Source organism: Homo sapiens, chromosome 4 (genome assembly GCF_000001405.40).
Source record: "Homo sapiens chromosome 4, GRCh38.p14 Primary Assembly".
Lineage (NCBI taxonomy): Eukaryota > Metazoa > Chordata > Mammalia > Primates > Hominidae > Homo > Homo sapiens.
The window spans coordinates 77617675-77643368 of NC_000004.12; the positions used below are offsets into that span (position 1 = coordinate 77617675).

The following is a 25694-nucleotide window of genomic DNA, read 5'->3' on the forward strand; positions in this document are numbered from 1 at the left end:
TCCTGAGTAGCTGGGACTACAGGCGCCCGCCACCACGGCCGGCTAATTTTTTTGTATTTTTTTGTAGAGACGGGATTTCACCGTGTTAGCCAGGATGGTCTTGATCTCCTGACCTCGTGATCCACTCGCCCAGGCCTCCCAAAGTGTTGGGATTACAGGCGTGAGCCACCGCGCCCGGCCGGAAATAATTTTTTTACCATATTATCTAGGAGAGAGTAGGACCTAACCACATTTTTATAACTACTATTGTGCATCCGAGAGTGCTGACATTATTAAATTCATTATCAAATCGAGCAAGTCATCAGCCATGAACAGAACTGAGTGTGAACAGGGCTTGGAGGAAATAAGTGTCTCTACCTCTACATCCTCCCACCTTACAATTTCCTATTCATGCTTTCCATCCCCCTGACTCCCATCATTGGCCAAATCCATTCAGAAGAGGTTAGATGAGGAAACTAAGGTTCAGAGAGGTAAATGAATTTGCCCAGTATCACCCAGCTAATGAATGTCAGTTCTGATATTTGAATCCCACAGACCGACTCCAAATACCATGATCTCATTTATTACTTTACATGTACAACTGATGGCTATGCCAAATATGAATTGTTATAATTTTTAATAAAAGTTAATGAAGGCTAAAGATGTGTATTTTTATCACATATTCTACTATTGAAAAAATTGCTTATCTTATGGCAGGCAATCAATTTTATTTTCAAGCATTTTTTTTTTAAATCTGGATAACAGCCTCTCCCTTTGAAATCTAAAGATCAAATAAATATCTCAATATATCCCTTAACTTGAGTGGGGCTGGAAGCCCCAGGGGAAAATCCCTGATCTAGCCCTTTCTCTCTATTAAGTGGACAACATCCTTAAGTATACTAACACCCTTTGCCCTCAAAGGGGGGCAAGAGGAATGAGGATCCCAAATGATGCCTCCTTGGCCTGATTCTTGTGCTTATCTCTGAGTGGTAGTCCCAGCGAGGGCCTCAGCTCTGTCTCTGACACAACCTGTGGTCTCGGGGCCCTTCTGTTCCTCATCCACTCCTGAACAAACTGTCCTCCCCACAAACCCCAAGACCAGCCCAGGACAGGTCTTGTGGAAACAGTCTGGTAACCTCACAGGGCTCTGCAGCCGTTTCAAGGAGGTTCTTTAGCACCCTCTGGTGGCTACTGCCAGAAATACCATGTTCAAATTGAAGAGGGCAGTGAGGGCGGTGACATTAACGTTGGACCGGATTCCCTGCTTCCTTTTCCATTCAGTCAGACCCTGAAGAGTGTCTCCCAGGGATTGCGGACAAGGAAATCAGGTGATTCTTTTCTATCGGTGCCCAGACTCGGGACTCCACGGTCTTCACTCTTAAAGTACGGCCTCCCAACCAGCAACATTGGAGAATCGGAATCAGAACCTACATTTCAACAAGAAACAGTGATTTATATGCAACTAACACTGAGAAGCTTTTTTCCCTTATATTTTGTCTTTTACATTTCTCCCTACCTCCTCACTGCCAAAAGACAATATACAATCAATTTTCACAGGTAAGCCCTCATTCTTCAAGTTAGGTCTTCCCCCAAGCTAAGGAGAAGGAAAAGAAGTAGAAGTTAGAAGATTTTGAATCAAAATTTGGTTCTGCTATGATTCACTAACATATTCAATTCTCTGAATCTCATTATTCTAAATGTTCAGATGAAAATAACATCTAGCCCTTATGGAACTAAGAATAAACTCATTTTCAAATCAGCTAACTTGGGGTCATTACTGGGATTCATAAATGCCAGGAAATTAGGATTGTTCAATTTCTGATGCCATTCCACTGGCCTTCTAGAAATGGTCATGTCCAACCCTTTGACTTCAAGCCGCAGTGCTCTGCTGGCATCCAGTGGTGAATGGTGTAATGTGGAAACATCAAACATGGTAATGCAGTGTACCCTAGAACTGACCCAGGAAGATGAAACCTAAAACCAGCAAACACAGCTTATCATATGACCTCCAGAACAGACCAAAGAGAGGAATAGAAGAAATGTGGCTACCAGCCCAATGTCAGCTGAAACTAGCAGCAGATAGAGACTTTATTGTTCTGAGCAAGACAATCTATACCAGTTCATTATCAGCTGCCAGGTGCCAAGCTAAAGTAATCTGTGCTCGATTTTCTTTTATGCATCATCCCAAATTAGATGTAAAATAATTGCCAAGAGTTCAGTCATGCTGAGACCCATTATTCAGTAATAAAATTGACATTTCTAAAGTACTTTATCACAAATGGCAGGTTAGTTCACACAGCGTTCTTGCCTGAATCACGAGCCCCAGCTTTGTGTCTTTCCATTTGCTTTATTTGCATGTTCTGCTCTTTCTACCTCCCACCTCCTAGAAATTAAAAATACCAGTAAGCAAAGAAAGGCACAGTGACTCTCGCTTTCAATTAAGGAGCTATTTCATATGCAGTGGTCACTTTTTATCAGTGCAGAATGGTGGACATCCCTGATAAGCAATCATGGTGTCCACAAGGACAGAGGACATTTTTAATTTTGCTGGGCATTTTGCTTAGCTTTGGAAATTCTTGTATGTTTTATCACTAATTTCAACTTATAAATTTCCTGCCTAGGAGCAACTTCAATGAATTCCGGTTTGGAAATATCCAGCAGATCTTTTTTTTTTTTTTTTTAATGAAAGCATCTCCCCACATTCGCCCACCTAAGATAACTCAGAGGCAGATGCACTTTTCACTGAAGTTAATGAGAATCTGAAAACTGCAATTGCAATGAGGTTGTAAACTGGGGTTAGCAGGATTCATGTTGCCGCAATTCATCTAACCTAGATTTAAGTCTCTGGAGTTATTATTTTTTCCCTCTTTGTTAAAAGCAAACATTTTTACAACCTCCTTATTTGTATACTGTTTTTATTATCCCACTACCCTTATGAAATTAATGAAAGAGAGACTTTTTTCTAAGTACTTCTTACGGAGACTCTTGAATGTGGACCTGCTGATTCCTCAGGGAGCCCACCCAGCCACTTGGGCCATGTCCCCCCGACTCGTGGTGCACATGTGAAAGGCAGGTAGGGCAGTTCCACTTTCTACAAAGGCCTGTGATTCCTGGAAACTCTGGCCAATTCTAAATCCCACTGACTGGAAGGGAACTTGAAGTCTCCTCCAAGTCTCTTTTTTCACAAAGTAAAGAACGAAGGTATTTTCCTAGCAAAAGCTAAAATTCCAAGGAAGATAAAAATTGAGGAAGTATCCCAACTCTTTGTTGGCACCCTCCATTGTCCACGTGCTCTGGCTTTGCACCCCGGAGTTTCCTCAAAACAGAACTGCAACCTCAGTGTGGACCTGGGACTAGTAAGATCATCCAGCCCATTTAATGTAAGTCATTTGTGTAACTGGGAAAGCCTTGGCCAAAATCTGAGGGGGTTTTTGGCAATGCTAAAGGCAACATCAATTAACAACAAAAATGCTTCCTTGTGTCCTGCCACCTTAGGACAAGCTTTACAATTTTGACATCTGGCCCCGTGCTCTTATCCAACCTGGGAAGTTGGTGGTGTGTTGGTGTGGCATCTTACTAAAGGCAAAATGATGACTTGTTTGTTGTTTATATTCTGTACCTGCTTGATTGATAAGCTTAGGTTTTGTTTTGTTTTGTTTTTTTTTTTTTAAGTCCTTTTCTTGTATCATCTCAGGTTGTGAGCAAAATCTTGGAAGCAATTTTTTTAGTTTGCTTTTTCTGTTTACTTCTCAGTGTTCCAGTACTGGCAGGTTTCTATTTGCTTTTCCTATTTGCTTTTTTGTGTTCTAGGACTGGCAAGACAAGGAGAATGATGTCTAGCAGGATCCCACTTCATCCTGTCCATTTCTGAGACAGAAATACTAAAAGGAAGTGAGTCTAGGAGAAACCTGGTGTCACTCTCTAGCTCTGTAACATCAAAGAAGCTTATTTTATTAAAAGGTTTCTTACTTAAAAAGAAATCACTCCATTTATGAGTCTCAACTCCCTTACCTTTGGGTGAGAAGTGATATAGACAATTGCTAAGGCACTATCTGGTCCTAAAACTCACATCCCTACCCTTCCCACAGCCTCCCCTCCCCTAAATACTCCCTGTCCAGGCAAATGTTGGTATTGCCATCCATTAAAATTAAGCTGTTGTGTCATCCTTGACCCCCCCACCAACAACAACCTCCCTTTTTAAATCATTCACCAAGAGTGATTTCATTTCCCCACCTCCTTAATATCTCTGGGATCCATCCACTTCATTTCCACCACTGCATCTGGCCACGTAAATGACTGCTCCTTACTTGGGGAAGTGACTTTACAAGCCAAGGTCATTCAGAATTAAATTTACAGATGATGGAATAAATCAAATTCATGTATTTATAAAGTGTAAAAGAATCTGGTCTCTCAGGAAAACATGACTTCAGTTTGAAGTGTATCACTAATTTAACTGTGAGTTTAAGCAAAAAAGTTTAATATAAATTTTAAGGATATTGGAATGTTTAAGAAAACTCAACATGAAAAATGTATGATATTATGTATTTGATTAACAAGATTTTCATACGTGGTCAGGAAGACTTGTTAGGGTTGTAATTTTGTCTTGCATAAGCATTTGAAATAACTAGCAAAAGTGAAATAAGATATTTATTCTAAAATCTTGAAAAGAATGTATTAAAGCAAATTTGTAAATTAGTCTGATTGTTTAAAGACAGTTATATTCGTTGGGTGGAGTTCATTAACATTGATTAAACAGCATGTAAAAGTGATTATTAATATTATATAAACATTAGAGTAAGATTAGTAGGCTGAGCTTGATGAAAATGTAAAATTGATAAACCTAAACTTTAAAACTAAACATTAATTCTGAACTCAAGCAAATATTAACAATCCTTTCTATACTCACGTTCCCTTCAGACCTTAAATTCACTGACAATTGTAAAAAGAGTTCTCTTTCAGTCATGGAAATGCTCACATTTAGGGACTTGGTCTGGAACATCTTAATATGCGTCTATTGTCTCTTAATTAAATACACAAGTGCAAAGTCAAACCAAGTTCTAGAGCATATCAAATCTCTGATTCCAATCTAACTTTTCATGATTTATTTTTTATGATTTATGATTTTGCAGGCCAAATGTATTCCAAAAACAGAGAAAATGTTTTAGCAACCTGATGTTCTCCAAACTATGATCTAGGCTTTACTAAAAATTTGTCTCTTGTTCTGCATAACTAGATCTACAATTACATAACTACATAACTACATCTTAGCACCCTTTTTATCCTGCTGGGATTTGTTACTGGTTGGGTGATCTTCCCTAAAACATAGACTTTACAGATTGATACGATCTGTAAAAACAAACTAAATTACCCTATGAGAAGGATGCTTGCCAGGTCTCAGAGCAGGATAGCGGCTTCTCTACACTCACTTCGCTGTCTTCACCCTCACCATCAATGTTTATTGTCCTTTCCAATTAATGTGCTTTATTATTTTAAACTCAAAATAAACAAGCAGTGAGAACTGAATAAAGGATTCTTCTACTTTACAGATTATCTCTTCGTTTGCCTTAAGAAATTTTGGAAGAAATACAATTTGCTACATTCTGACTCATAGCCATGCATAAGCTTATGGAGGGGGAAAGTTCACGGGGAGAGCCAAGTCTTCATAATGTCCTCTAATTATGTGTGGAACTAAATATGGAAAAACTAAGCATGTGTCTTGTCCACATATATAGACATCTACAATTTGGATTATCTCTAGTTTCTTTTTCTCCTCACACAACCTCCCTCAATAGATGATTTTATGTACCTATAATGCTTTTCCTTTATAGGAGGTGGAAAGTGGAAAGACTCAAGGAATAGCCTCTTGTGGCTTCTCAACAGGACACTGTGGGCATTTTTATTCCTGGCGCCTGACTCTCCTGCACATTAGGGGATGCTTCTCACATCTCTAGGCCAGAGCCACCAAATGCTGTCACTCATTGGAAATTTGTGGGGGCATTTTGTTTGTTACCAACACCCCGCCTGTAAGAGCAACTCCCTCACCTTCTGCAAAATTTGCAGGACCTCAGAAGAACAGGGAAGGCAGCGACCACTATTAACCCCTTAACCTTAGCACAGGGGCCCAGCTCTTCACCAGGTCTCTGCTTAAAAGAATGAGTGGCCTTTTAAATAAATAAAACAGCAAAGCTAATCTTTGTAAATATTTCCTACCCCATTCTTTGCCAATAGGCGCAGAGCCCCAGGAGAAATGAGAGGTGGGACCTTATGTTGTGAGTTAAGTTTGAACAGAAAAGGAGATTGTAGAACAACATTTGAGTTGGAAGGTATCTTAGTAGTCATCTAATCTAACACCCTCACTTAAGAGGTAAAGAAAATGAGGGTGTGAATCACTACCTGTAAAACATGCAGCAAGTGTCACCTATCACTGTGATAATTAGTAATTATTACACTTATTGCTATTACACCTGTCTACTTTAAAACTGCTTAGCCTCCTGGGAGGCTGTTTTAGTTCAGGCTTCTGTTGAAGCCAACTTTGATCCAAGGATGTGGGTGAAAGTACTTTATGCTAGAGGTGATCCAGGCAACACAGTGAAGGTGGGGGGAAGTGATACAGTGTGATGGAGGCTGTGCTGGGCCATCAGATCCACTTTAAGGAATGAAGCACTTTTCTTTCAGCTGCTATCCATGCAGCTGGCAGCAGCTGTGGAGCTCTGAAAATTGCCCTCGCTCAAGGTTATACACCCTTCCTGGGAGCAGCCCGCATCCAAAGCTGGTTGATGCAATGGTATAAATATTCTATCCCACCTTCTCACCTCGGGCCAAATCTGACAGCCATCCCAGCTTCAGAACTTCCTGCAGCCTCACTGAGGCCTTTGCTGTGGCTGTCTCATGTTCAACTTCTCCCTCTGCTTAATCCTGCTTCCTCCCCTTTACCGACAGGTATTAATCCTACAAACACTCCCAGATTAACTTTCTGTTTGCTAATCTCCCTATCGGTATGCTTACCAGGGAACCTGGCCTGCAATAGAAGTTGTTCAAGAAAGCAGATGTTAAAAAGGGATTCTGAATCTGAATCACCTGCCAGACAGCTGGCAATGAGAACCACATTACTAGTCCTACAAGGAGCATGCAGGGCCCCTGACACAGGTGGTAGTGCAATTGTTAATACTTTCACCTGTTGTGAACTGGGATGGATGGTAAATTGGTAAAAGAAAATGTGCCAGCAGGTGCAATTTATCAGGCATTTGAGAAATATGGGGGAATTGTAATTCTGAAAAAAATAGAATTGGAAAGCTGCTGCTGGAGGAGTTAGATAATATGGAAAAAGATAATAAAAGGCACAAAACGACTAATTAGTCATTAAAGACTAGGTGTGCTATGGTCTGAATGTTTGTGTCCCCTCAAAATTCCTATGTTGAAATCCCAATCCCCAAGGTGATGGTATTAGCAGGTGAGGCCTTTGGGAGGTGATTAGGTCATGAGGGCAGAACCCTTGTGAAGTGAATTAGTGCTCTTATAAAAGATCTCAGAGAGGACGTCAGCCCCTTCCACCCTGTGAGGCTGCGGTGACCGTCTATGAGGAAGTGGGCCCTCTCCAGACACCAAAACTGCCGGTACCTTGTTCATGGATTTCCCAGCCGCCAGAACCGTGAGAGATACATTTCTTTTGTTTATAAGCCACTCAGTCTGTGGTAGTTTGCTATTGCAGCCTGAAAAGACTAAGACAAGGTGTGAAGCCAGGGCCCTACTTGAGCACAGTCAGAGAATCTTCTCTCCTGCTGGTAAAGAGCAGGGACATCTGAGGACAGATTCAGGACTTAATCACAATCATAACATGGCTCCAGAGAAGGTTGAATTTTCAACCTACCCACGGCCACAGAGCAAGATCAGGGTCCTGATTGGAAAAGATTGGGACCCTGAAAATTGGGATGGGGACATCTATGCTAATGCACTTAAATAATGGATCCTCAGACCCTGGAGCCCCTGACCCTGCAGAAGTGAATAGCACTGTTGGAGCCAGCACTCTCCCTGGCCTTGCAAGAGAACACATTCCTTTGGGCTCTACCCCAGCACTCCTCTTAGACACAAGATCAGTAAGAAGAGTGAGCTCACGATACAAGTGCTGGGCCTGCCAAGGGAGGAAAGGGACCGTACCCCAAAGGACGTGCAGAACCTAGTTAACATGTGCCAGCAAGCCTACGAGAGAACATGTGAAAGCAAATGCTAAGAGTGCCAAATCAAGGGGGTGACAGGACATAATGTGAAATAAGGCAGAGTTTATTAATATGGGAAAAATTCCTGGGTGTACAGCATTTAACAACATGGCTAAGATCACAAGACTAACACATTTCTGGCATGGCTTTCAGTCTGGGCCATCACTTTCTCCAAGCTTCTTTTGATTTTATTTTTATTGACAAATAATAATTATATGTATTTCTGGGATACAATGATGCTTCAATACATGTATACATTGTGGGATGAGCAAATCAGGCAATTAAACTATTCACCTTAAATACTTATTTCTTTTTGGTGAAAACATTTAAAATTCACTCTTTTAGCAATTTTGAAGTTTACAATGCATTGTTATTAACTAAAGTTAATAGTCACCTTGCTGGGTAAGAGATCACCAGAACATTTTCCTTCTGTCTAATTGAAACTTTGTACCCTTTGACTAACCTCTCCCCTTTCCCCACCCAGTCTACCCCCCACCTCACCTCTGGTAACCACCATTCTATTCTCTACTTCTATGAGTTTGAATGTTTAGATTTCACAGATAAGTGAGATAATAAAATATTTGTATTTCTATGGGTGGCTTATTTCACTTAGCTTAATGTCCTCTAAATTCATCCATGTTGTCACAAATGACAGAATTTTGTTGTCTTCTAAGGCTAAACAGTATTCCATTGTGTATATGTATCACATTTTTAATCCACTCGTCTATTGGTGGGCGCTTAGTTTATTTCCAAATTTTGGCTATTATGAATAATGCTGAAATAAACATGGGAGTGCAGACATCTCGTCAATATACAGATTTCAATTGCTTTGGATATATACCCAGAAGTGGAATTGTTGGTGCATATGGTAATTCTATTTTTAGTTTTTTGAGGAACCTCCATACTGTTTTCCAAAATGGCTGTACTAATTTACATTCCCACCAACAATATACAAGGGTTTCTTTTTTTCCCGCATTCTCACCAACACTTGTTATCTTTCATCTATTTGATAAGAGCCATTCTAAGATAAGAGGTGTTATATATCTCATTGTGGTTTTAATGTGTATTCCCCTGATTATTAGTAATTTTTTTTTCATATGTCTACTGGCCTTTTGTATATCTTCTTTTGAAAAAGGATCTATTCATGTCCTTTGCCCCCTCCCCACCTTTTTTTGAGACAGGGTCTTGCTCTGTCACCCAGGCTGGAGTTACAGAGCAGTGACGTTATAGCTCAGTGTAGCCTCAACCTCCTGGGCTCAAGACATCCTCCCGCCTCAGCATCCCAACTAGCTGGTACTACAGGTGTGTGCCACCACATCTGGCAATTTTTTTTTTTCTTTTGGTAGAGACAGGGTCTCACTTCGTTGCCTGGGCTGTTCTTGAACTCCTAGCCTAAAGCCATCCTCCCACCTTGGCCTCCCAAACTGTTGGGATTACAGGCACAAGCCGCTATGCCCAGTCTTTGCCCATTTTTTAATAGTTTTTTTTTTTGTTTTTGGGTAGCTGGAGTTCCTTATATATTTTTGATATGAACCCTTTATCTGATGTATGATTTGCAAATATTTTCTCCCAGTTCATGGGTTGTCTTTTCACTGTTTTTTTAGAAGCTTTATAGTTTGATGCAATCCCATTTTTCTATTTTTGCTTTTGTTGCCTGTGCTTTTGGGGTCATATGCAAGAAATCATTGCACAGACCAATGTTATACAGTTTTTACACATGTTTTCTACTAGTAATTTTACAGAAGTCTTACATTTAATCTTTAAGCTATTTTTAGTTGATTATCGTATAAGGAGTGAGATAAGAGTCCAATTTCAATCTTCTACATGTGATGTCCTGATTTCTAAACATCATTTATTGAAAATACTGTCCTATCCTCATTGTGGTGAGTTATTGGCCTCTTTGTGGAAAATTAATTGACTATAGATGTGTGGGTTTATTTTGGGGCTTTCTATCATGTTCTATTGGTTAGTGTGTCTGTCTTTATGCCAATATCATTCTGTTTTAATTACTGTAGCTTTGTAATATACAGGCATACCTCAGAGATACTGCAAGTTTGGTTCCAGACCACTGCAAAAAGGCAAATATTACAATAAAAGCCAGTGACCCAATTTTTTTGGTTTCCCAGTGCATATAAAAATGTGTCTGTAAATATGTCTAAAAAAACTATGTACATACTTTAGCTTTAAAATGCTGATGATTGGCCGGGCATGGTGGCTCACGCCTGTAATCCCAGCACTTTGGGAGGCCGAGGCGGGCGGATCACGAGGTCAGGAGACGGAGACCATCCTGGCTAACACGGTGAAACCCCGTCTCTACTAAAAATAGAAAAAATTAGCCGGGCATGGTAGCGGGCGCCTGTAGTCCCAGCTACTCGGGAGGCTGAGGCAGGAGAATGGCGTGAACCTGGGAGGCGGAGCTTGCAGTGAGAAGAGATCGTGCCACTGCACTCCAGCCTGGGCGACAGAGCAAGTCTCCGACTCAAAAAAACAAAAAACAAAACAGAATGCTTATGATCATCTGAGCCTTCCTTGAGTCAACCTTTTTGCTGTTAGGGTCTTGCTTGCCTCAATGTTTATGGCTGCTAACTGATTAGGGTGGTGGTTGCTGAAAGCTGGGATGGCTGTGGCGATTTCTTAAAATGAGACAACCATGAAGGTGTCATTGTTGTCATGTGGCAACAATAATGTTGCTGCATCCATTGACCCTTCCTTTCATGAAAGATTTCTCTGTAGCCTGTGATGCAACATGATAACATTTTACCCACAGTAGAATTTTCAAAATTGGAGTCGGTCCTCACACACACTGCTGCTACTTTATCAAATAAATCTATGGAATATTCTAAATTCTTTGTTGTCATTTCAACTGTGTTCACCAAGAGTACATTCTATCTCAAGAATCCACTTTCTTTGCTCGTTTCTAAGAAGCAACTCTTCATCCATTCAAGTTTTATCAGGTGGTTGCAGCAATTCAGTTACATCTTCAAGCTGCATTTCTAGTTCTCTTATTTCTATCACCTCTGCAGTTACTTCCTCCACTGAAGTTTTGAACCCCTCAAAGACATCCTTGAGGGTTGGAGTCAACTTCTTCCAAACTCCTGTAAATGTTGATATTTTGGCCGTCTCCCATGAATCACAAATGGTCTTACTGGCATCTAGGATGCTGTAGCCTCGCCAGATTTTCAATTTACTTTGCCCAGATCCATCAGAAGAATCATTATCTATGGCTTCTGTAGCCTTACAAAATATATTTCTTAAATGATAAGACTTAAAAGTCAATTTCTCCTTAATCCATGGACTGCAGGATAGATGTTGTATTAGCAGGAGATAAAAACAGGAGATTAGCAGGAGATAAAAACAACTTTAATCTCCTTGTATACCTCCAGAGCTTTTGGGTGACTAGGTGCATTGTCAATCAGCAGTAATATGTTGAAAGGATTCTTTTTCTGTTTTTCTGAGCTTTCCTTTTACATCAACAGTGGGCTTAAAATATTCAGTAAATTATGCTGTAAACAGATGTGCTGTCATCCAGGCATTTATAGAGAACAGCCAGAGTAGATTCAGCGTAGTTCTAAGGGCCCTAGAATTTCCAGAATGGCAAATAAGCATTGGCTCCAACTTAAAGTCACCAGCTGCATTAGCCCCTAACAAGGAGGTGAGCTTGTCATTTGAAGCTTTGAAGTCAGGTATTGATTTATCCTCTCTAGCTATGAAAGTCCTAGATGGCATCTCCTTCCAATAGGAGACTGTTTTGTCTACCTTGAAAATCTGTTCTTTAGTTGTAGCCACCTTCATTGATTATCTTAGCTAGATCTTCTGGAAAACTTGCTGCAGCTTCTACATCAGCACTTGCTGCTTCACCTTGCACTTTTATGTTCCAGGGAAGGCTTCTTAAACCTCATGAACCAACATCTGCTAGCTTCCAACTTCTGCTGCTTCCTCACCTCTCTCTGCCATCATAGAATTGAAGAGAGTTGGGACCTTTCTCTGGATCAGGCTTTGGTTTAAGGGAATGTTGTAGGTGGTTTGATCTTCTATCCAGACCACTAATACTTTCTCCATTTCAATAAGGGAGTTTCACTTTCTTTTCATTCATCTGTTCATTGGAGTGGCACTTTAAATTTCCTTTGAGATCTTTTTCTTTGCATTCACAGCTTGGCTGTTTGGTGCAAGAGGCCTAGCTTTCGGCCTATCTTGGCTTTTGACATGTGTTCTTCACTAAGCTTAGTCATTTCTAGCTTTTGATTTAAAGTGAGAAACATGTGATTCTTCCTTTCAGTTAAACACTTAAAGACCATTGTTCGGTTATTACTTGGCCTAATTTCAATATTGTTCTGTCTCAGGGAGTAGAGATGCCCAAAGAGAGGGGAGAGATGAGGGAACAGCTGGTCATTGGGACAATCAGAACACACACAGCATTTATCAATTAAGTTTTCCATCTTATATGGGTACAGTTTGTGGCACCACAAAGTATTACAATAGTACCATCAAAAATCATTGATCACAGACCACTATAACAGATGTCATAATAATGACAAAAATTGAAATATTGCAAGAATTACCAAAATGTGACATACATGAAGTGAGGACAAAATGGCACCAATAGGCTTGCTCAACACAGGGTTGCCACAAAACTTTAATTTGGTTTTTTTTTTAAGTATCTGCAAAGTACAATAAAGCAAATGTCAGTTTCAAGCCCCAGCTGAGGTCAGAGGGGTGTGGGTAGATGGGGCGGGGGGCAGGGAGCTGGAAGAACACTCGAGAGAGAGCAGGTAGATGAGACATGGCTTTATTCAGCAGCTCTTTCACAGTGTCAGTGTTACATTTGTACACCTCACAAATGATAGTGGCTGAGAGCCAAATGATGAGCTTCTCTGTGTTATGTCTACCTAGCTGTGATTATATCAGGCACAGGATTGCGCGCGTGTGCTCTAATCCCACTGTGTCATGCAGGATTTTTACCTCGGCCTATGCCTGCCTGGCAGCAACACAGCCATGTTCCTTACACTCCGCCCCCTAGGCCAAGGGGGTCCTCTTAATGGGAACTCGTGCACATAGGGGAGCACCCTGGACCCAGAGGCCACAGCAACAATAAAGAGAGCAACAACCTACTACTAATATTCCTGCTATGCTACCTATGATTATAAGAGCCCAGTGTAGGCCAGAGCCCAGAGACACCCACCATCTCTGCAGGCGGTCATCAGTAAGGTATTCAATTGCCTTAATCTCCTATGACATGACACCCCCTGCAAAGCTGCCACTATGTTCTGGTGGTTGTCAGGGATGAATGTACAACACTCTGTCCCTACAAGGGCACAGGTGCCACCTTGAGCAGCTGTGACTATGTCTAAGGCCATCCGGTTTTGCATCACCACCTTCCTGATCTGATCAAACTCATCAATTAACAAAAGGAGGGCAGCTCAGGTGTAATTCATGGGCCCAATCTCTGTGTTCTGCAAGGGCTGTAACCTGCATTTCTACAGTGATGACACCTGTTCCAGGGACAGTTATTGCTAAGGGGTAGAACCACTAGGGGCTCAATGCACTCACAAAAACTGGGAACACAGCACCTCCCAGTTATGTGTGTGACTAAGCAATGTGGGAAGCACAGTGGCAGGCACAGAAGGCCACTCCCAGGTACAATGTCCAGTCTAGTTGGCTGGCAGATATGGCCATCCTATGTCCCCACAGACCTATAAACTCCCAGCAGGCACAAAGTCCATGGGGGCCCAGCCTTGGTAGGGCTGCTTGTTCCACCACATCCTTGGCATGGTGGCATGTGTTACGTTTGCACAGGTCTCAGCAGGCAACCATCCCACAGTGACCTTACCCCAGTGTTGCTCTATACATCGTGGTACTTGCAATGGGGCCACCATGTTTTCTCCCATTAGCCAGCCCCATTCATCATGGATGCTATGAGTCAGCCAGGGGGCAGGCTTGCCATGGGTTTTGTGACACCCCCATCCAAAGCTCACCATGTTGCATCCCGCCCATTGTCTGTGGGACCCCAAGTTTCTAGCCATGTCCAGTTCTTCACAAAAGCTGGATGCACATGCCAAGGCAAGCCATCCACAGCTGCTGCTGGAAGGGTGGTGCAGATCTAACAGTTGGAGACATTGGCCACCTCAGCATAGGTGTGAGCCCAGTCCACAATGTTGTTGGAGCATGCCAACCTGTGGCTGAAACAACAAAGCAGGCACAGGTACTAACAGGGGTAAATCACATCCTTCAGGCAGAATACAGGCTAACTTTTCATCCCTGGATAACAATGCAGCTACCAAGGGCTTCTGCCCTGGGCAATGATACAACACGTTCTCAGCTCCCCATGGTTCTTTTGGGTCTTGTATCCATGGCAAAGTCATAGGGGAGCTTATAATAGGCCACATAGACAGTACATATGTCCCCCAGAGGAGGGTCCCTTCTCTGGTCATTCCCCTACGAATGGTTAGTTTGGAGACCACACATTAAATACCCAAGGAGCAACATGTAAGTCATACTGCAGACCCTCCCCTGAGGGGGCTACGATAGCCAACCATCTGCAATGGGGGGCTTGGAGGGTTCATGGCCAATGTCAGGTTTTCTGTTCCCCTGCCTTCAGAGGCATTGGGGCAGGCAACAATAGATTACCATTCGTCCCCATACCTGGTCAGAGGAGGTCATCCTTGGTGTGTATCTGTAGTTGGATGGGGGCAGTGGCCTGGTGTAACAGTGCCTCCACCGGGGCCGGGCCACCTTTCCATGGCCACATTTTCAAGATTTGAAGCACCAGGTCCAACCTGGAACTCCAGCCCCACAAAGATGGGTGGGGAGGAGGGGTGGGGAACATGCAAATGTAACCCGTTCTTCAGGAGTCCATTATATTGCTCAATCATGCTAGCAGCTTGTGGGTTATAAGGAACATGGAACCCCCATTGTATGTCCATCTGCTGTGCCCACTGTTGTACCTGCTGTCCAGTAAAATGTGTTCCACTATCACTTTCAATGGCCAAGGGATGGCCATATAAGTCCTGCTGTCCAGTAAAATGTGTTCCACTATCACTTTCAATGGCCAGGGGATGGCCATATAAGTCACATAAGTGTTGCAGGGCTCAAATGGTGTGTTGCTGGCCAGCCACCCTGCAAGGGTAGGTGAACAATAAGCCAATGGCCGTGTCTACAGCCATCAGTGTATACGTGTAGCCCTGCGATTTTGGCAATGGCCCAATGTAATCTCATTGCCATCTGGTCAAGGGCACCTGCCCTACTGTCACTTGTTGTGTTACATTGGGCAGTTGTCTCCATCTGGAGACATACCTCTGGAGACACATCTCGTGTAGGTGCTGACTCTAATCATCGGACCTTTGTCAAGGAGTCTGTTTCATCATTACCAGGGGTAGCCAAAGGCATATGGCTTGACACATTCTGATTACCTGTTTCCCAGAGGTCTTGCCTCATGGTTGACCCCAAATGGGCTGATTTGGGGTCAAATAAGCCAATTCTGTAATTTCCAGGTAGTCAACCACAAGGTTAAACCTCAATAGACTGCCCAGCTATTGGTGCAAAGTACCATAGGTGACTCCTCCCTGGTTATCACCATCCCCACCACTCTGAGTTCAGCCCTTTGGCTGCTTTGTCCACACCTAGTATCAACCCACATGGTGTTGGTGCTGGGCTGGACTGCTATAGCAGTCCAGGCAGCAGCAGCACCTTGGCTGGACCCATCTGTATACCATGCCCCATCAGGAATGGCAGGATGCCCTTCCTTAAACTGGGATGGCTCAGGGTCTGGGGTGCCTCAGGCCCCATGGCCTTATCTTGCATTAGGACTACCTGCTGCTAAGGACAATCTGCTGCTAAGGGATTGTACTCTGCCGCTCCAAGTAGGCACCCCACTTCTGTAAAGCGAATGTCTGTAACATTCCAGTCCAGGGGGTCATTACCCATGAACATACCCACTCCTCTATTGGGTAAGTCATCCACACGATGGCTGTAGCCCGTCCCATCATGCTCTCACAGGCCTGAAGAGTAGCATATGCAGCAGCTAATTAGTTCTCTCTTAATGAATACTGGAGCTCAGCTCCCTTCCACAGCTGGGACCAAAAGCCTACTGGTGTTCTAAAGTGCTCCATGCACTGCCATGGGCCCCAACCAAAACCATCTGTGGTTCCATGTACATCAGGTTCAAGTGGGCGCCCCTGATCAATTACTTGTGAGGTCTGTGCTTGCCAAATGGCCCACTTGTGGCCAGAAAGTCTGTTTCAGCCTCATCATCCCAATCCCTAATAGCCCCCTTTTTTTGTTAACTGGTACAACGGTTTTATCGTTTGAGCCAAATGGGGCACAAATGCCTGTCAATACTCCAAGAGGCCCCCAAAAGTCTGCAGCTGCCTCACTGTGGTAGGTCGGAGGTATGCCTAGATCTTATCAATGATGGCCTCAGGTATGATCTTTGTCTTACCTGAGCAAATAACTCCCAAGAATTTGGCAGACAATTCCGGCCCTTGGACCTTGGATTTATTGATGGCCCAACTGCACACTGCCAAATGCTGTCACAAGAGGGGCACCACCACTTCTAAATCTGTGAGAGAATCAGAGGTTAACATATCATCAATGTAATGAAACAGGCAGACCCCTTTTGGGCATTTCCAGGCAGCTAAATCCATGGCAACAAGACCAGGACAAATGGTGGGGCTATGCACACAGCCCTGTGGCAGCATGGTGAAAGTCCATTGTCATCCTTCCCACGTGAAGACAAACTTCTCCTGGCTCTCTGGAGCAATGTCAATGGAGAAGACTGCATTAGCTAAGTCCACCACAAAGTGGTACTCTTCCAGTTCCATTGTCAAGCAGTCCATCAAATTCGTGATGAAGGGTACAGCTGCATGCAGAAGGGGTGTTACTTTATTCCATTCCCAATAATCCACTGTCATATCCACCAAGTCCCACTAGGCTTTCTGACTGGCCATACTGGGGAAGTGTAGGGGCTATGGGTGCCGTGCACTATTTGTACCCCCTCTAACTTCTTAATAGTTTCAGTTATCTCTGCATGTCCCCCTGGCAAACAATATTGATGAGTGGAGGTAATCCGTCGGGGTTGTGGCAGAACTTGGGCTGATGATGTGTATGTCCATGCAGCACCAGCTTTACTACCCAAACTTGGAGTCTGAATTATCTGGCCGTGGTGTGTAAGTCCAGACTATCCAAAATGTCCACCCCAAGAAAATTCAGATATAGGAGAGACATACACAGAGTATAGGTAGGGAGCCAAGGGGCCAGTGCCAAGATGCAGAGACACTGGTTTCACCTTCACTGACTGGCCCCCATAACTGTCAATGAACACAGCTTTGCCCGGAAACTTACCCAGGTTTCTATAAACTAGACTGCAATCTGCACCAGTATCTACCAGCGCTAGGACCTGCTGTACATTAGTGGGGAACCAGTGGATTGCCAACTCCGCATGTGGCCTCCCTCCACTCCCACCTCCTTCACCCCCTGCTGCCCCAAGTTGGGCACCTCGGCCATTTCCCTAATCAAACAAGAAAGGCTCCATATCTCCACCCAACTGCAAATAGTCCTTGAGCTCCAGCGCCTGGGCAGGATTAGATTGAACAACACTGTTTTGCCCCCTCTTGGTCATTTTCCAGAATTTTTGCTCTGGGGACAATTGACTCCACAGAGCCAAGGGCATTCCATTGGGTTGCCTGTCAATTTTCTCTCGAGCAACCCCAGCTGAAAGTAAATCAGACTGCATCTGCTTGCGAGTCACCCACTGGGGCCCCTTGTTATCTCGTGGAGTGGTTACCTGTGGAGGGGACACCTTCCCCTTCTTTATGGCATGGACTCCCCAGTCCTGCCAAAGGCCTTCTGCCTCCCCAAGGGCTGCCATAGCAGTAGTCACTTCATGTGTGTGGTACCCCACATATGGGGTGAGGACAGCAGCCAGGGGGCCAAAAGCATTTGGGGATGCTGAGCCCAGCAAAACATCCATTATGTGGGAGATAAAGTGTTCATTATCTGGACCCTGGGTATTAGGATCAAACATAGTCTGCCACATACCCATCTCCCAGAGTATCTGTACCAAATCAGTATATGATTGCCATTTACTCTGTTTCTGATATTTCTCCAGCATCATTCCAGACAGTCTGTATGGCCACCATCAGCCACTCAATTAAAGTGTGGTCACCTTGCCCCTGTGCTAACCACTGGCACGGCTGCAGCCACTGATGAAGGGAGGGGTGAGTTGTGATAGAAGCCAGCTTCTCCGTCTCGGAGGCAGAGCAGGAAATGTCAGCTCCTTCATCCCAGATATGGAGTAACTGGGCAGGGAGGGGCTCCCCCAGACACTGCCGGCACTGTTTACCTAACTCTTGCAACTCATTGGGAGTTGCACTATAAGAGGTGTGTTCCACCACTGTGAGGGGTCCCTGGGCTCTTCCCCTGAGTCCCATTGGCTGCCCATATTCGACCTTCTGACGGGATCACGGGACGAGCCCACGGTGGAGGAGCCGCTTCCTCCTCAGCATCAGACTGAACGGAAGTGTCCAGCCAGGAGGTTGTGCTGACAGGTGTTGCTAACTCCTGTTCCAGGCTGTTTATCTAGGCCTCTAAGTGCCCAGCTTGTACCTGGAGGTCCTTCACCTCCAGGTTTTGCCCCAAGCTGTGAATTTGAGCCCCTAGCTGCTCAGCTTGTGCCTGAAGGTCCCTTACCTGCACCGTGTCCTATAAGGACTGAGCATGTACTTCACGCAGTACAGTTGGAAAAGCCCCATTGGACTCTGCCAGCAAAGGTGCGTTCCTTCTTGGTGCTGTGTGCCTCCAGCTGCTTCAGTGCCTTCTCCACACTCACAGGAGACCCATCCACTGCCTCCCAAGTTTCCACTGGGGCCCATTCAAGCAGCACCTCTGCCACCAGGTACCACAGCCCATGCTGCAGTCACATAACCCACCTGGGAGCCTCAGGGGCTGAAGACCCACTCACCTCATCCTGATGACTACACCAATTATCAGGTTCAAGCCCCAGCTGAGGTCTGAGGAGAGTGGGTTGATGAGGGGCAGGGAGCTGGAAGAACACTTGGGAGACAGCAGGTAGATGAGACACGGCTTTATTCAGCAGCTCTTTCACAGTATCAGTGTTATATTTATACACCTCACAAACAATAGTGGCTGAGAGCCAGGTGATGAGCTGCTTTATGTTATGTCTACATAGCTATGATTATATAAGGCACTGGATTGTGTGCCTGTGCTCCAATCCTGCTGAGTCATGCAGGATGTTTACCTTGGCCTGTGCCTGCCTGGCTGCAGTGTGGCCATGTTCCTCACAGTGAAGCACAATAAAATGAGGTACGCCTGTAGTTTGAAGTCAGTGTGATGCCCTCATCTTTGTTCTTTTTGCTCAAGCTTGCTTTAGTTATTAGGAGTCTTTTGTGGTTACATATGAATTTTCGGAGTGTTTTTTCTTTTTTGTGAAGAATGACATAATTTTGATAGGGATTGCATTGACTCTGTAGATGTCTTTGTGTAGTATGAACATTTTAACAATATTAAGTCTTCCAATTTATGAACAGGGAATATTTTTCCATTTAGTTGAGTCTTTAATTTCCTTCATCAGTGTTTTATAGTTTTCAGCATACAGATCTTTTACCTCCTTGGTTAAATTTACTCCTGAGTATTTTTAAATTCTGTAAATGTAGATGTAAATGTCCTTTTCTTGATTTATTTTTCAGATAGTTTGTTATTAGTGTATAAATATTCTACAGATTTTTGTATGTTGATTTTGTTACCTGCAATTTTACTGAATTTATCAATTCTGGAAGCTTTTCTGGTAGGGTCTTTAGGGTTTTCTATATATAAGATCATATCATCAGCAGAGACAATTTTACTTCTTCCTTTCCTATTTGGATGCCTTTTATTTTTTTTTTCTAGCCCAATTGCTCTGGCTATGACTTCCAGTACTATGTTAAATACAGAGTGGTGAAAATGGGCACCCTTGTCTTGTTCTTGATTTTAGAAGAAAACCCTTCAACTTTTCACAATTGAGTATGATGTTAGCTCTGGAACTGTCATATATACCCTTTATTGTGTGGAGAAACATTCATTCTGCACCTATTTTGTTAAGAGTCTTCATCATGAAAGAATGTTAAATTTTTTCAAGTGCTTTTTCTGCGTCTACTGTGATGATCATATGATTTTTGTCATTCATTCTGTTAATATGGTGAACCACATTTATTGAGTTGCCTATGTTGAACCCTCCTTGCATTCCAGGAATAAATCCCACTTGATCATGATGAATGATCCTTTTAACGTGCAATCGAATGTGGCTGGCCAATATTTTTTTGAGGCTTTTACCTCTATATTAATCAGGGATATTGGCCTGTAGTTTTTTCTTGTAGTGTCTTTGTCTGGTTTTTGTATTAGGGTAATGGTGGCCTTATAAAATGAGTTTGGAAGTGTTCACTCCTCTTCAATTTTGTGGAAGAGTTTGAAAGAGTGGTGTTAGTTCTTCATCAAATGCTTGGTAAAATTCAGCGGTGAGGTCATCTGGCCCTGGACTTTTCTTTGATGGGAGACTTTTTATTCAATCTTCTTATTTTGGGGCTATTAAGATTTCCAATTTCTTCATGATTCAATCTTGGTGAGTTATGCTTCTAGGAATTCACCCACTTTTTTCCAGGTAATCCAATTTGTTGTATGCACTTGTTCATAGTAGTCTGTCATGATGTTTTGTACCTCTGTGTTATCAGTTGCAATGTCTCTTATTTCATTTCTGATTTTATTTCAGTCTTCTTTTAACTGGTTTAGCTTAGGGTTTGTCATTTTTTAAAATCTTTTCAAAAAAGTAACTCTTCATTTTGTTGGGTTTTTTTTCTGTTTCTTTGTTGTTGGGGGTTGTTTGTCTCTATTTTCCTTATTTCTGTTCTGGTCTTTATTAAGAAGATCTTTTATTAAAAATGTTCTTCCTTCCACTAACTTTGGGTTTAGTTTGTTCTTCTGTTGCTAGTTCCTTGAGGTATAACATTAAGTTGCTTATTTAAGATATTTCTTGTCATTTAGTGTAACAATTTATTGCCTCTTAAAACTGTTTTTGTTGCATCTCAGTAGTTTTGGAATGTTGTGTTTTCACTTTTGCTGGTCTCAAGATATTTAATTTCTTCTTTGACCCAATAGTTGTTCATGAGCATATGTTTAATTTCCACATGTTCATGAATTTATCATGATTCTTCCTCTAATTGATTTCTAGTTTCATACCATTATGGTCTGAGAAGATACTTGATATAATTTCCATCTTCTTGAATTTAAGATTTGTTTTGTAACCTAACATATTATCTATCCTGGATAATGTTCCATGTGTACTTGAGAACAATGTATGCTGTTGCTATTGAAATGCAATGAACTACATATGTCTGTTAACCCATTTGGTCTAAAGTGTTGTTCAAGTCTAATGTTTCCTTATTGATTTTTCTGTCTGGATGATCTATTGTTAAAAGTGGGGTATTAAAATTCCCTACCATTATTGTATTGCACTCTATTTCTCCCTTCTGATCTCTTAATGTTTGCTTTAGTTAGGGGCTCCAATTTTAGGTGCTTATATACTTACAATTATTATACTCTCTTGATGAATTGACACCTTTAGCATTATATAATGATTTTTATCAGCTCTTTTTACAGCTTTTTGACTTAAAGTTTATTTTGTTTGATATAAGTTTAGCTACTCATGTTTTCTTTTTGTTTCCATTGGCTTGAATTATCTTTTTCCATTTATTTATTTTCAGTCTATGAGTATTCTTTAAAGTGAAGTAAGTCTTTTGTAGGCAAGATATAGTTGAGGTTTTTGGTATTTTCTTTTTTTAATCCATTCAGCCACTCTATGCCTTTTGATTGGAGAATTTAACCATTTACATTCAAAGTAATTATTGATAAGGACTAATGTCATTTTGTTTATTGTTTTCTGATTGTTTTGTAAGTTATTTATTTTTTCTTCCTTTCTTATTTTCTCCCTTTGTGGTATGATGTATTCTGTAGCAGTATTCTTTGAAGCTTCTCCTTTTTATCTTTTATCTACTTTATAGGCTTTTGCTGTTTATAGGGTTTTGCTTTGTGGTTATCTTGAGGCTTACATAAAACTTTGTATACTTATAACAGGCTATTTTAAGCTGATAGCAACTTAATTTTGATTGCATACACAACACTATACTCTTTTACTTCCCCTCACCCCCCATATTTTTGTTTTTGATAGCATAAATTTTTTTTATTATTTGTATTTTTTGTATGGACAGGAAATACTTATTTTTTTATTTCAGTAATTTTTGGGGAACAGGTGGTTTTTTGTTACATGGATGAGTCTTTTAGTGGTGATTTCTGAGATTTTGGTGTATCCATCACCCAAGTAGTATACACTATACCCAGTGTGTAGTTTTTTATTCCTCACCCTCTTCCTATCCTTCCCCCGAGCCCTCAAAGTATTAGTATTTCTTAATAAATTTTTGTAGCTGTGGTTTTACTAGGTTTGCCTTTTAGCCTTTATACTAGAGATATGCTTAATTTGCCCATCAACATTACAGTATTATAGTGTTTTGAATTTCACAATGTAGTTGTTTTTACTAGTGAGTTTTATACTTTCCTATGTTTTCATGTTACTAATTAGCATCCTTTTCCTTCATCTTGAAGGAACTCCCCTTAGCATTTCTTGCAAAGCAGATTTAGTGCTGGTCCCCATCATATCTCCATTTAATTCACCAATATGCCTTATACAAAATCCAGATGGATCCTGAAAATAACCTATTGCAAACCTAACCAAATATTTGTACTAATTTTATCACTGGGGCAAGCGTGGCTTTTTTGATAGAGCAGTGGTATACAGTTATTAACCTGGCAAATATGTTCTTTCCCAATCCCATCAAAAAGTTTGCATTCACTTGGAACTGACTACAGCATGCTACAAATATTATATTTATAGTGTTGCCCCAGGACTAGGTTTACTTTCTTGTTCTGTTATAATCCAACATGCCCTTATAATTTCACATTGGTCCACTATATTGACGGCATCATGCTAATCTGACTGGTTGAGCAACAAGTGGCAAGTATGTTCATGACCTTAGGAAGACACATGTCCTCCAGAAAGGGTAAAATGAAAGCTATGAAGATTCAGGAGTCATCCCTATCCAGGAATTTTTTAGGAGCCAGTGGGCTGGAACATGCCAGATCATCCCCTTCAAAGGAAAGTTTAAATTATTGCATCATGCACTTCCTACCATGAAGAAGGGAGCACGATACCTGGTGGGCCTCTCAGGTTTCTGGAATAAGAGTATTCCTATCTGGGAATACAGCTCAGTCAATATAGCCAAGTGAATGCAAGGATGTAAGCTGAGCCATGGGTATGTTCAACCACAGGTCCCAGGTAGGCCCTGTGGTTTAGGTATATTGTTTCCAAAAAGAGAAATGTTTCTACCTGAGTATATAGTAAAAGTCCTCTTAAGCTTTAGGTTATGGCAACCCCTGGGAACTTTGGATACTCATTCCACAGAACAAGCAATCAATAAGAGTCACTATCTTGGTAGATCATCAAGGGGAAGTCAGACTACCTTTACACATGCAAAACGGCATATAGCAATACATTTGGCACCTAAGAAATTTGCTCATGCATCTCTTGATATTCCCTTGCCCAATTTTGCCTGTAAATGGACAAGTGCAGCAGTCACAGGTTGACCAGGCTAGGAGCACTTGAGTGAAATAAGCCACCAAGATCAGCAGAAGTGCTAGCTGAGGATGAGGGAAATCCACAATGGATAGCAAAGTAGGGAGATAATGGGTATCAGTTATACCCTTGAGATTAGCGCTAGCTGTATAGACTATAGTTTATCTCTCTGACTTTCCTTTTATAAGTTTACCACAGGAGAGGAGGCCCACCAGAATTCTAGAGGAGCTTCTCCAAAACTCAGATGAAGTGAATCTGAATGGAGCAAGGAGTGGACTTTAGTGGATGCCTTGATGCACTGCCTAGATCCCTCTTCGTGACTGAAGGGCTTATTCTCAAGCTGCTGGGGGTTCTGGCTAGCCCTCCTTAGTTGTTTGCCCTCTCCAAAAATTTCCCTCAGCTGAAGAGAACCACCTCACAAGGTTATTCATTTTCCTGGAGACAGACTGAATCTAAAAATCTGAAAATAAGTTGTCAATGCAGGTCATTATGGCCCGTCCCCTTTACCACAATTCAGACAATTTTAAAGGGACATCCTGGCTTCAGATCTCCCTATGTAGTCAAATGATGCTTCAAACATTGATACATTCAAACTTCTCCCTCATCCCAACCCTGCTTCCTTCCTTTTCCTACACAGGGATTAATCCTGAAAGTACTTTCCAGTAAATCTCTTGAACACTAATGCCCTTCTCAGAGTCAGCTGCCTGGGGATCCCAATCTTCAATAAATAGGGAAGAAAAGAAAGCCAATAAAAATTCCACTGATGAGAATGGCATCTGGGGCTTGATGCTCCTGGAACCCTCTCAGAGACTGCATTGAACATTTCTCAGAACTTTCCCACTGGAGGATGAGGTCAGAGTATTTATCCACCAATTTCTACACCTTCATTGGCTGAGCAGTCCCTCTGGGGGTTTTAACACTCTGGCACTTTCTTTCTGCTCTGTATATGGGCTGAGGAAGCTCCTGAGGATAGAGAACACTATCAAGTAGAAAGACTCAGGAAGCCATCAGCCTATATGGGGACTGTCCCCAAGGTGAGTATAGGGATTACAAGAGGAACATTGACATCGTCTGCAACAGGGGTCATATGGCACCATGTAGTATATTTCTACTGAGGAGAGAGAAAAGCTAAATTAAGTTTGGGGACAATAATAGGAATAGATTCAAGATGATTGCTGGAATAAAGTAGCATAAATCAGAGGCTAAGCGGAGGAGAAACAGCTAATGATGCTCTGTTATCATGTGTTTTCCACATGAAGTATATGAGATAGCACTAAGAGAGTGTGGATGGGTGTAGTAGCGTTGCTCTGGGGGAAAGATATATCATGAGCATATTTTACAAACCTATAAGCATTTCACTGGTTCCTGTCTTGAAGGAAAGACTACGCTCTTGAGGGCAGGAACTATCTTACTCATTTTTGATGTCTGGAATTTCATAGGGTTAGGGTCATTCTGCCTTCCCATGCAAGGTGTTGTGATTGAGGTGATAGAGAGAGAAATAGGCTCACATATCAGCTCTGCCATTTAATAGCACTAAGGGTTTTGCTATGTTATTAAAACCATTTAAATCTCAGTTTCCTTATAAAATGGGTACAAAAATACATATTAAATAATATTGTTAAGAGAAGTCAAAGAATGCACAACACCTGGCACATCTTGTTGAGCAGTGCTCAAGAGATATCATTGCCACTTCCTCAAAAAGTTTTGAGATGAATGAATTAACATATCTAGACTTACTTTAAAATGTCAGTAATACTACAGAAATCCAAAAGTTGTTATGGAGTTCATGATTATATTGTTCAGAGCCAAATTAATGTTACAAGTTTTGATTTCAG

The 25694-nt window shown here is 42.0% G+C and overlaps 1 long non-coding RNA gene across 2 annotated transcripts, besides 1 other annotated feature; it reads right to left on the reverse strand.

Annotated features, from left to right (window-relative positions):
* Window positions 1097-1196: a silencer, noted in NCBI's record as "silent region_15505". NCBI's record gives its function as "represses an Ori minimal core promoter by ATAC-STARR-seq in GM12878 lymphoblastoid cells {active_cell/tissue: GM12878}" and the evidence as "EXISTENCE:reporter gene assay evidence [ECO:0000049][PMID:35858748]".
* On the reverse strand, window positions 12963-19279 carry LOC105377297 (uncharacterized). 2 transcript variants are annotated; one of them, XR_938915.3, is made up of 3 exons: window positions 19147-19279; window positions 16627-16746; window positions 12963-14368 (listed from the first exon to the last, which is right to left on the reverse strand). It is a non-coding gene; the product is annotated as an uncharacterized LOC105377297 (long non-coding RNA). The 2 variants fall into 2 exon arrangements; XR_938914.3 differs by having other exon boundaries at window positions 16627-17046.
* Window positions 19280-25694: the final 6415 nt, after the last annotated feature.